This window comes from Homo sapiens, chromosome 8 (assembly GCF_000001405.40).
Source record: "Homo sapiens chromosome 8, GRCh38.p14 Primary Assembly".
NCBI classification, from domain to species: Eukaryota; Metazoa; Chordata; class Mammalia; order Primates; family Hominidae; genus Homo; species Homo sapiens.
The window spans coordinates 371144-383487 of NC_000008.11; the positions used below are offsets into that span (position 1 = coordinate 371144).

At 50.3% G+C, this 12344-nt stretch overlaps 1 long non-coding RNA gene across 1 annotated transcript, besides 1 other annotated feature; it reads right to left on the reverse strand.

Moving 5' to 3' along the window:
* Positions 1 to 4787: 4787 nt before the first annotated feature.
* FAM87A (family with sequence similarity 87 member A) lies at positions 4788 to 12031 on the reverse strand. Its single transcript, NR_103537.1, has 4 exons — positions 11917 to 12031; positions 10013 to 10049; positions 6421 to 9166; positions 4788 to 5902 (listed from the first exon to the last, which is right to left on the reverse strand). It is a non-coding gene; the product is annotated as a family with sequence similarity 87 member A (long non-coding RNA).
* Positions 7413 to 7913: an enhancer, noted in NCBI's record as "H3K4me1 hESC enhancer chr8:328556-329056 (GRCh37/hg19 assembly coordinates)". NCBI's record gives its function as "activates a minimal SCP1, AML or CMV promoter by ChIP-STARR-seq in naive H9 embryonic stem cells {active_cell/tissue: H9 hESC(naive)}" and the evidence as "EXISTENCE:reporter gene assay evidence [ECO:0000049][PMID:30033119]".
* Positions 12032 to 12344: the final 313 nt, after the last annotated feature.

Genomic DNA, 12344 nt, shown 5'->3' on the forward strand with positions numbered 1-12344 from the left:
GGATAATAACCTGCAGAGTGTTTTCCAGCTTGATTCCATTCTCCTTGTCACTTTCAGGTACACCAATCAGATGTAGATTTGGTCTTTTCACATAGTCCCATATTTCTTGGAGGCTTTGTTCATTTCTTTTTATTCTTTTCTCTAAACTTCTCTTCTCGCTTCATTTCATTCATTTGATCTTCCATCACTGATACCCTTCCTTCCAGTTGATTGAATCGGCTACTGAGGCTTGTGCGTTCATCACGTAGTTCTCGTGCCTTGGTTTTCAGCTCCATCAGGTCCTTTAAGGACTTCTCTGCATTGATTATTCTAGTTAGCCATTCATCTAATCTTTTTTCAAGGTTCTGAACTTCTTTGCCATGGGTTCCAACTTCCTCCTTTAGCTCGGAGTAGTTGGATCGTCTGAAGCCTTCTCTCAACTTGTCAAAGTCATTCTCTGTCCAGCTTTGTTCCGTTGCTGGTGAGGAGCTACGTTCCTTTGGAGGAGGAGAGGCGCTCTGATTTTTAGAGTTTCTGGTTTTTCTGCTCTGTTTTTTCCCCTTCTTTGTGGTTTTATCTACCTTTGGTCTTTGATGATGGTGACGTACAGATGGGGTTTTGGTGTGGATGTCCTTTCTGTTTGTTAGTTTTCTTTCTAACAGTCAGGACCCTCAGCTGCAGGTCTGTTGGAGTTTGCTGGAGGTCCACTCCAGACCCTGTTTGCCTGGGTATCAGCAGCAGAGGCTGCAGAACAGCGGATATTGGTGAACAGCAAATGTTGCTGCCTGATCATTCCTCCGGAAGTTTTTTCTCAGTTTCAGAGGAGTACCTGTCCGTGTGATGTGTCAGTCTACCCCTACTGGGGGGTGCCTCCCAGTTAGGCTACTCGGGGGTCAGGCAACCCACTTGAGGAGGCAGTCTGTCCGTTCTTAGATCTCCAGCTGCATGCTGGGAGAACCACTACTCTCTTCAAAGCTGTCAGACAGGGACATTTAAGTCTGCAGAGGTTTCTGATGCCTTTTGTTTGGCTGTGCCCTGCCCGCAGAGGTGGAGTCTACAGAGGCAGGCAGGCCTCCTTGAGCTGCGGTGGGCTCCACCCAGTTTGAGCTTCCCGGCCGCTTTGTTTACCTACTCAAGTCTCAGCAATGGCGGGCACCCCTCCCCAAGCCTCGCTGCCGCCTTACAGTTTGATCTCAAACTGCTGTGCTAGCGGTGAGTAAGGCTCTGTGGGCGTAGGAGCCTCTGAGCCAGGCACGGGGTATAATCTCTTGGTGTGCCATTTGCTAAGACCATTGGAAAAGCGCAGTATTATGGTGGGAGTGACCCAATTTTCCAGGTGCCATCTGTCACCCCTTTCCTTGGCTAGGAAAGGGAATTCCCTGACCCCTTGTGCTTCCTGGGTGAGGCGATGCCTCATCCTGCTTCGGAGCACGCTCGGTGCGCTGCACCCACTGTCCCGCACCCACTGTCCAACACTCCCCAGTGAGATCAACCCGGTACCTCAGTTGGAAATGCAGAAATCACCCATCTTCTTCTTCGCTCACGCTGGGAGCTGTAGACTGGAGCTGTTCCTCTTCGGCCATCTTGGCTCCACCCCCTCCAGATCTCACTTTTAAGAATGTATGAAATGGCTAAAAGAAACCTTTAGCCTCTGTCTTGTATTTGGAGAAAACTAGCTCATTCTTCTAAAAAATATTTGAAATATTTTATATAAGGATTGATTTAATCAAATCAAATTTCCAGTGTACCTTGTTGCTGTCTAGGGTCCAGACCAAGATGAAAATGGGACTTGGCATCGTTGATACCTTAATATCAAACCATTTTTTCTATCTGCTTTCATTTTTTATGACATTTCCTGCTATCTCCTTTCTGAGATATGCCTCCTTGCAATTTTTGTAGGCCTTTGTCCAGCTTGGTCTTTCAGCTGGCATCCCCACAACCACTTATCAACATGGAATGCCCAACACTCGGCATAAGACCTGAGGAATAACCAAACTGGTTCTGATCCAGGGTCCTTCCAGACACGCACTCCGCCTCCCAGACCGGATTCTGCACGGCCTTGGCTGTTCTCCTTGAAGTCAACCCAAAGTCTAGGGACCACTCCTTGGGGATGTTCTGAAAGAGACAGAGTTAAGTGGAACGGCAGCACGGCCCTTCACACAGAGGCTCTGGGAGCCCCTCACAGCCAAGCTGAACACTGGTTTATCCATCTCTATCTCCACACCCTTCCCATGGCCCACAGTTGGGGTTTGTGTCACAGGGTTGAGAGAGTTGCTGCAATTGAACCCTGAGTGGGGACCAAATTATTTCCACTTCTCAGGAAGCTTGGAGCCACCTCACGTCCATGTTTTCTGCCACACACTCAGGGGAGCTTCAACTGAGCAAGGTTCGGCATTTATCCCTGAGGGAAAACATTCCCATTTCTTTCCAGAGAAGCACCTGTTTATCCCTACCTCATCTTTCTCATCTTTAAGTCAGATTCTTGCACTTGCTTTTAAATCTGATACAAATTATAAACAGCCATGCCTTTTATTTCTATATATGCATATGCCGTGGAAAATCTAGATTGCTCAAGCCGCCTTCTGCCAACAGAAATAACGTTGCCTTTCAGCAGTGGTTTGCTTTTCTGAAACTTTCGGTCATCCCACCCTTTAGAAGGAACAACTTTAGAGAATAAGACTGGCCCATATGCAACTCCCAGAATTTTCTCAGGAATGTTTTAAAAATCTGTTGTTGTTCTGGATACTGAGAGAGCTGGTAGTCCCCCTTTATCTGACAAGGATAGATTCCAAGATCCCCAGCAGATGTCTGAAACCACAGATGATACCGAGCCCAACTGCCATAAACCAGAACATGATTCTGTTCCTGTCCTCCCCTCCACCCCCAAAATTTAATGGCCTTTCCATCTGAACCAAGCACTTACTGTGCACCGTGGCTGGAACTTTTGCACTCTGAGGTGTGACAGCAAAACTTGGATGCATTTCTTTTTCCTTCCTCACAAGCTCATGCATAGAAGATTCATTCTTACCATAGACATTAGGAACCTCAGTGCAGGATTTTCTCCTTAGTAAGTCAAGAACTTTCACCTGCTCACTTAAAGGAGTCACTTTTCAGCTTCTCTTTCATATTTCTGAATTACAGCATCACCACTCTGTCACTCTGGGGCCATTATTAAGTAAAATGAGGGTTCCTTGAAAACAAGGCATGATATCATCAAGATATCATGACGATCTGATGACCAAGACAGCCAGTAAGTGTCTAGCAGGTAGTATAGACAGGGTGGATCTGCTGGCCAGGCAGGTAGTATAGACAGGGCGGATCTGCCGGACAGGCAGATAGCGTAGACAGGGTGGATCTGCTGGACAGGCAGGTAGTGTAGACAGGGTGGACCTGCTGGACAGGCAGGTAGTGTAGACAGGGTGGACCTGCTGGACAGGCAGGTAGTGTAGACAGGGTGGATCTGCTGGACAGGCAGGTAGGGTAGACAGGGCGGATCTGTTGGGCAGGCAGGTAGTGTAGACAGGGCGGACCTGCTGGGCAGGCAGGTAGTATAGACAGGGAGGATCTGCTGGACAGGCAGGTAGTGTAAACAGGGCAGATCTGCTGGACAGGCAGGTAGTGTAGACAGGGCGGATCTGTTGGACAGGCAGGTAGTGTAGACAGGGTGGATCTGCTGGGCAGGCAGGTAGTGTAGACAGGGCGGATCTACTGGGCAGGCAGGTAGTATAGACAGGGTGGATCTGCTCGACAGGCAGGTAATAGTATAGACAGGGTGGATCTGCTGGACAGGCAGGCAGTGTAGATAGGGTGGACCTGCTGGACAAGCAGGTAGTGTAGACAGGGCGGATCTGCTGGGCAGGCAGGTAGTATAGACAGTGTGGATCTGCTGGCCAGGCAGGTAGTGTAGATAGCGTGGATCTACTGGCCAGGCAAGTAGTGTAGACAGGGCGGATCTGCTGGGCAGGCAGGTAGTGTAGACAGGGAGGATCTGCTGGCCAGGAAGGTAGCGTAGATAGGGTGGATCTACTGGCCAGGCAGGTAGTGTAGACAGGGCGGATCTGCTGGACAGGCAGGTAGTATAGACAGGATGGATCTGCTGGAGAGGCAGGTAGTGTAGACAGAGCGGATCTGCTGGCCAGGCAGGTAGTGTAGACAGGGCGGATCTGCCAGACAGGCAGGTAGTGTAGACAGGGTGGATCTGCTGGACAGGCAGGTAATATAGACAGGGTGGATCTATGGACAGGCAGGTAGTGTAGACAGGGTGGATCTGCTGGACAGGCAGGTAGTTAGACAGGGTGGATCTGCTGGGCAGGCAGGTAGTGTAGACAGGGCGGATCTGCTGGACAGGCAGGTAGCATAGACAGGGTGGATCTGCTGGACAGGCAGGCAGTGTAGACAGGGCGGATCTACTGGAAAAGCAGGTAGTGTAGACAGGGTGGATCTGCTGGCCAGGGAGGTAGTATAGACAGGGTAGATCTGCTGGCCAGGCAGGTAGTGTAGACAGGGCGGATCTGCCAGACAGGCAGGTAGTGTAGACAGGGTGGATCTGCTGGCCAGGGAGGTAGTATGGACAGGGTAGATCTGCTGGCCAGGCAGGTCGTGTAGACAGGGCGCATCTGCCAGACAGGCAGGTAGTGTAGACAGGGCGGATCTGCTGGCCAGGCAGGTAGTGTAGACAGGGTGGATCTACTGGAAAAGCAGGTAGTATAGACAGGGTGGACCTGCTGGACAGAGGGAGGTGTCACACCCCAGGTGGGGCTGAGTGGGACGGTATGAGACTTCATCACGCTACTCAGAATGAAACACGATTTAAAACGTGTGAATTGTTTATTTCTGGAATTTTTCATTTAATGTTTTTGGACCATGACTGACTGAGAGTAACTGAAACCTCAGAAGGCAAAACAGTGGATAAGAGTGACTTGCCGACCTGAACAGTTTGCTCTTAGAAACTTTGTGTGGTTGGTTGCCTGATCTGTGACTTCCTTTAATTCACTTCTCTGAGTTCCTTAAAGGTAGGAATTATGTTTTATTCCTCTCACAGCCATATTTCCTTAAAAACTAGTTGGTGAACCGTGGAAAATCTAGATTGCTCAGGCCGCCTTCTGCCAACAGAAATAACGTTGCCTTTCAGCGGTGGTTTGCTTTTCTGAAATTTTTGGTCATCCCACCCTTTAGAAGGAACAACTTTAGGGAATAAGACTGGCCGGTATGCAACTCCCAGAATTTTCTCAGGAATGTTTCAAAAATCTATTGTTATTCTGGATGCTGGTGAACAGATGCACGAACGGCTCAGGCTCTGCCACTGGCCTTCTCCATGACTGTGTTTGTAGGGACAAAGCATGGTAGCAAACAACCTCAAAAAACCTCTGTGGCTTGAAAACACAAAGTTTAATTACTTGCCCATGCTTCTCTTCCACTGCACGCTGGGAGTAGCTCCTGTATCCTCAGGCCCAGGTGAAATAATTTTCCCATCCTGAGCACTGCCAGGCTCATGGCAGAGGGGAGGGTGCAGGAATGTTGTGCGGCTTTTAAAGTTTCTGCCAGTAAGGGGCTGAGTCACTTCCATTCCATTCCATCAGCTGGGCCTGACCACAGGACAAGTAGCAGAACCTTTCCATCCAGCAGAAACAGAGAGTGTCTGGAAGAAGAATACAAACTGTCCCCAACTCCCAGAGTTAATTCTGTGAATTCATCAACAGGATGATACACTTGCCTCACTGGCTTTTTGTTCCAATAGACAGAATCATAGAGTCTTGTTGTGCTGAGAGCCTTGTAGGTCACGCAGTCCAGGGATGCACAATTAGAAGACAATGACGAGGTGCAAAGCTGAGAGCAGAGGCGAACGGAGTCCGGAGGGCGGGGGCTGCGGGCTGAGCACACACCCCACCGGGGAGCAGCCATCTCCGCTGCAGCCAACGTTGCCCTAGAGAGATGAATGCAGGCCCAATGTTGGCAGCTATTCCAATGTGAAAGAAAGTAAAAATCCAGACTTTTATGTAACAATATTCTAATATTTACAACATTAATCAGCTGGGGGAAAAAGTGTCCACAGAACTTTTGCAGCCTGTGAGCCACCCATTTCTACCCAAATTCAGCCCAAACCTCTAACTGCACAAGCTCACACAAATAGAGAAAGCCAGGAAAAGTATCCAGAACTCCACATGCACTTCACTACTAACGGGCCTCCAGCCCTGGTAAGCATGGGAACCACACATGTAAACACTGAGGTGCCCTGCCACGCCAGTGAAGTGCATGCTGCTCGTGTGTGACCCATTTTTAACCCCTAAAGGCATAAAACACGAATACTGTGAATTCAGTTAATAAGTTGAATTTACACCAGTCCTTCCTGATACAGCTGAACCAGGTCTTTCCCATTATTCACTCCTCAGTATATCACCCCTTCTGTTGAACAGAATTAAGTAAATATTTAAAATTTCTTACCCAGGGGTCAGCAGATTATGATCCAGAGGCCAAGCCAGCCCGTCTGCTTTTGTGTATAAAGTTCTCATGGAACAGAGCTGTGAGCCTGCCGTGTGTGGTCTACGGCTGCCCCTGGACACAACTGCAGAGCTGATTCCCGCACAGACCTCGGGGCCCGCAGAGGGAGGCGCCTTCCCTCCATCATCCCCACTGAGCACCAGCCTCCGCAGCCACTAAAACCTGCGGAACTCACTCCATGCCCCTTGTTGGCTTTCTTCACATAAAGTGGATAAAACTGGGTGTTTACAGCCTAAAGCAGCCCATGCCAAGGCACTCTTCAGGGACTGAGCCTTAGTCACAGTCCTTGTGACTACAGCACGTCCATAGATGAGAGCTGGCCGAGGGATCCGTGTGCCTCCAGCTTCTCGGAGCTGGAAAGAATCCATACTGGAAAAGTGTTCCTTCAGTGCTCCTCCTTCTGGGAAAAAAAGACGGGGAGCTACATCAACCTTAAGGGTTAATGTTGCTTGAATGTAAGCATAATAAATATTCAGCATGTCTCCTAAGACCTGGAGTATCATCAGAGACCAAGCTTGGAAAACCACAAAGAATGACGCCCAGTTTCTAAGAGTCATTCCGTGCTTTACAATCAGCCCACAACCACCGAGTCCCAGGAAGCCCAGCCGAGACCGCGGCAGGTCCTGACGCAGCATCAGCCTGAGTCTGAGCCCAGAGGAAGCTTCTGCTGCCACAATTGCTGCGTGTGCTCATGGCTTGGGTGCAGGCCCAACCACAGCGGACCAAGGGCAGGCTGAGATTTGGCCTGGACTGGAGGGCTGTCTCAAGGAGGGTGACTTGAAAGAGAATAGAAAGGAAAAGGGAAGAATGCAAGTATCCAGGTGGTTCCCAGAGCCAGGAAGGAACCACGTACCACAGACAGAATTTCGCAGGTGCGACGGCCGTCCTCCAGCCACACCCGCCTCCGAGCTGTGCTGCCCGCTTCCTCCAGGGCCTCAAGGGTCCAGGATGCTGCTTCCTTAAAACGAGTGATTTTCCTCCAGAAATCCAGTTCTCTCTCTCCAGGGTTCCAGTCATTCCTGGTGTTCAATTCCTTCAGGCTTGGGGAGGAAATTCCTTCAACGGCATCGCTTCTCGGACATGCAGTAAGTCAAACGGACATTTGGCTTGGCACACATTGAGCACTTAATAAAATCTACCGGACAAGGAGGAACGCCTGGCTGACTCCAGATCGCAGTCACAGGGGCTGGTAAACAAAGCTCTGGAGGGTCAGCATCTGCAGCTGGAAAACAGGGACTCAGGCGTGGTGAGGCTCCATCCGCCCCTCAGCTTCACTGACAGTCTGACTCCCCCAGCCATCCTTGTCCCCGAGCCTTGCACACAGAGCATCCCTTGGAAGATCCAACCAGCTTCACTGACTTCCTTCCCTGTCCCAGCCCTACAGACACATAACTGAGAAGGGGACATGAAGACTGAGCTTCCAGCACCTGGGCACAGGAAGCGTGGATGCCGGCAGGAGAGGAAACTGCGGTGTCACTGCCCGCCGGCCGTGGGGGCTGCACCCAGCGCGGCTCACAGGGGTGTTCTTGGTATCGCTGGCCTCCACATTTCGTTCTCTCCATGCCAAGTGCACGCAGTGGGACCCATGAAGCTGCACACTTTCACTGCCATCATGTAAGCCGCTCCGACCAGAAGCATTTTTAATTTTTAGAACTATTTTCTAATCTTTTCATAAATTTGAGAGAAAGAAACATTTCAAGGAATTCTTGCTATTAGATAATGGCTAGCATTTATGCAGCACTGAGCCTCACAAAACACTCCATTCACATTGTCTCACTTCACCATCCTAACGGCTCTGAAACAGCCATCGGCAGACTTCACTGCGTCCAAGACAGCATCTGTTAAAAAACGCAGCAGTATGTTATGTGTCACTGAGAAAGAAAATAACACTGCCGTTTAAGCCACAATACATGGTGACTTGGACTTGATGAAAAGCAGCATTTCCCACACTTTTCAAAGGAGGAGAGGGAGGTGGCAAGGTCATCCAGAGAGCAGTGGCAGAGCTGGGTTTTCACTTGAGCCTGCAGAGTCTAAAGGATGCATAGTGCGCTCTGCAGCTGGTCCCCGACTGCACACGGCAGGTGGATGCAGCAGCTTCCCACTCATGCTCCTGGGATGCCGGACACAACCAGGAACCTGGGGCTAGAAACTGAGTTCCCAGTGTGGGGAGAGGAAAGCCTCCCCTCCTTACCTCCGGGATCTCCCCTCCCAGCCCATCTCCCCACGTGTCCTGCCAAAGCAACGCCCTTCCTTCCAGCGTTTCTGGAAGCTGATAGCAGCTACATACCTAGAGGAGGAACAGGAAAAGACTGGGAATCGTCTCACTGTCCGAGACAGTGGAATCCATGTTTACAGTCTCCCAGATGGGATAAAGTGGAAGATGGTCTTCCCAGTTCTCTGAAAGCCAGACTTCCTGGCTGGCTGGGCAGTCCCCGGGCTGTGCTGTCCCTGGACTCCACGTATGGGGAGCATGATCCGCACTGTAGCTCGGAACAGCAGAAAGGAGAACCCCAGCAGGAACACGCGTTGCAGGAACCCCACCGCCGAGGCTGGTCGCCGACTCTCGTGTGGGCACCCGTGCAGCTGTCCTTGTTTCCTGGAGAAAGCGTGGCACTGCGGCAGGTGTCCTGGTTGCTAGAAAGCCTCTCCCAGGCTGGTCCTCTGGCATCTGCCATGTGACTTCCTCCAGCTGATGGAACGTAAACAGAAACCAGCACATCAGCTCCAAGTGGAAGCTTCTGAGCCTGCAAGAGACCTGTGTGTCCACATCATCTGATCCCCCCACCTGGGTCCTGGGGGACACCACAGAGCAGAGCCCCCAGGTCAAATTTTATGTACATGTGACAAGAGCAAAAAATAATGTTTTCTTTCAAATCACTGAGATTTTCAAGCTGCTTGTCCCCATGGCATAACCTGTCCTGACTGGACTCACACTCTGCTCTCCTGTGCCAAGCGTCAATATGGATTTTTGATGAAATTTTCTACATTGGCAGGGCAAGCCCCTGCGTGTTTCCTCAAGTGGAGGCAGTGACAGCAAAAGCAAACATTTTGGATCACACACAAATGTTTACAAATAAGATATGTTTAATGAGCATGATGCTTCATGCAATAATAGCAGTGGCAAAAATGGCCAACAGCTACATTATTATTACATTCCCAGTGCTGTTCCCAGTGCTATTCCCAGTGTTTCTCTGTCACTGTATTTGCTGGTTTGCTGAGAGCACTATGAGATTCAGTGTTCCCCAGTGACTTCTCACGTCGCCTAATTAATTCAGCAAAGCACTTATTGGCGACTTCATATGGCCTAATTGTGGCAATAACTTAGTGTGATTAAACTTAATCAAACACCATGTCAGTAAATGACATGATGTCACTCCACCGATGACATTCATGAAGGAAATATTAGGGCCCAAATATTCCTATAGGTGACTTTCCAGGACGCTGCTGCTGGTGTGTTCACAAGGCTGCATGATCAGGAAATTAACCGCACCACATGCTCCACAATTTGGAGCAAATCATCCACCTGGGACCTCACCAGACTCTCCCCGTCAGCAGCGGCTTCTGCCTGGAGGCTGCAGATGGGAGCACAGAGGGCAGTCAGTCATTCCATTGCCACGTCCTAAAATCCAGTCCTGACTTCTTAATCCCAAGCCCCGTTCTCAGATTCAAGGCCCCGTCTTCTCTGGCGTTGCCATTGCCATATTCTAGAATGTTATTTACACTAACAACTTAGGGCCGAAGACGCGGATGATAATAGGACCCAAGGAAAAATCAATGCCGAGCAGGGGTGCGGGGTGCAAGGAAGGCCCATGAGGAGCCTGGGCTGAGTGGGTTTTCCGATAGGAGCACACACTTCAATTCTGAGGTTTCTGTTAGCAAAAAAATCATTAAGTAAGAGAACACTGAGAGCTATACTTTCACAGCTAAAAAAAAGTTCATTTCTTTAGAGAGAGCTTCCCCACAGCCCTAACTGCTGCAGACCGCACTCCCCACCACTTCCACCTCTGTAAATCCTGCACACTCAGGTGGACCCTGTCTCCGAACCTTCCCCGTGGAGAAGGACGTGTCCTCCTCACTCCAGTGAGAGACCACCACGCCCGTGGCCAGGCACTGGGGCTGGCATGAGGCTGCCCTGAACACCGGGAACAGCGTCTTGACCAGTTCAAATTAGGTCACGATTTTGCACTTCCCAAAGCAGGCCTTCGCTCTGTTTCTCCAGTCCCAAGGGCTTCCTGAAACGTGGGGGCCCTTCTGTCACCCAGGCTCCCACTTCCCTGAAACTCCTCCAGATGTGACTCTCGCCTGGAAAAAGGACATCTTCTCCTGTTACCTTTTAGCTTGTTACAACCGGAGAAACTCACTCAAAAGGCTCTGGACTTGTACCTGCCCCCTGAGAGGCCAGCGGGGAAGGCTTGTCCCTTGGCCCTGAACCTCTGCAGGGCCTCATCTCCTCCGCAGCCCTTCCGCTGCTCTGATAAGAGAACCACCACTTAGACCCGGCACTCCAGCTCCCAGGAGACTGAAACACATGAATTCCCAATGTCGGCTTCTGAGGCCTCAGCATTTCTTCCTCAATGAGCACCGTATGCACATGGAGAGCCGTCTTCACCTCAAATTTCAGATTTGCCCGTTTTACTTCCTGCTCACTCTGCCCCAGCTCTGCTCTCCTGCCTCAGTTTCCCAGAGAATGTGGAATCCCCCGAGAACACAGTCACCTCCCCAGCCTCTGGACACCATCACAGTCCCTTCTTCCTGACTCCCCACAGGGCCGCCTCTTCTGCCACTACTTTCTCAGCACGAAGCGGGAGAAGGAGGAGGCAGGCAGCTTCAGACAGTGAGAAAGAGAGACAGACGCGAGCCGCAAGCACCTCTCGATGCCCAAGAGGGGAAGCTGTTCTTTCCTCTTTTAAGTGGGAGCCGCTCACCACTATCTCTCCTGCAGGTCTTCTGGGGGGCCCTGGCCGTGCTCCCTGAGGAAACTGCAGTGAGGAGGGAGAGAGACCCAGAGAGGTAGAGACAGAGAAAGAGACAGAGAGAGAGGGAGGCAGAGACAGGGACGGAGAGAGAGACACAGACAGGCAGGGACAGAGAGAGGGAGAGACAGGGACAAAGAAAGACAGAGATGAGGACATAGAGACAGAGACAGGGACAGAGGGAGACACAGAGACAGGGACAGAGACAAGAACAGAGAGGGAGGGGGAGGCAGAGACAGGGACAGAGAGAGACCAAAAGAGAGGCAGAGAGAGATAGAGGGACAGCGAGCTTTGAGCTCACACCACCCACTGGTGCATATGAAAGGTCAGAGGGACACGGCGAGCCCGAGGGGCGGCTGCGTTTACCAACTAGAAGACAAATCTACTAGTGAATATGGAGGAAAGCATGAATGTTCAGGCTTGCACATACATTATGACTCAGAAATTCCCATTCCTAGATACTTACCCTAGAAAATCTCTTGCGAATGTTCACTGAGAGACAAGTGCAAACGTGTCCCTATCAGCACTGGTTGAACTAAACAAGCAACATGGTGGAATCTTAGAAAGGTAGAAAGAAGAACAAAGCAAGCCCCAGAGAACACAATAATAACATTGTAATAGATCTCAGAAATGCTAAAATATGTATTGTACAGATATGGAAACTATTTTTTAAATGAAGGAACACTTTTTTTAATGCTGGAGAGTGGCCACATCTCCCAGGGAAGCAGGAACGCAGGGCCGGGAAGGAGCCGCAGCAGCTTCAGAGTCCGGGGGGGTTTCCATAGATTAAGAGGAACGGGCTCTCCACAGGGCTTTATTTCATCAGTAAATTTCAAAGCTTCCATATACTATTAGATATGTTCCATATTTACCACATTTTCTTAATAAAAAGTA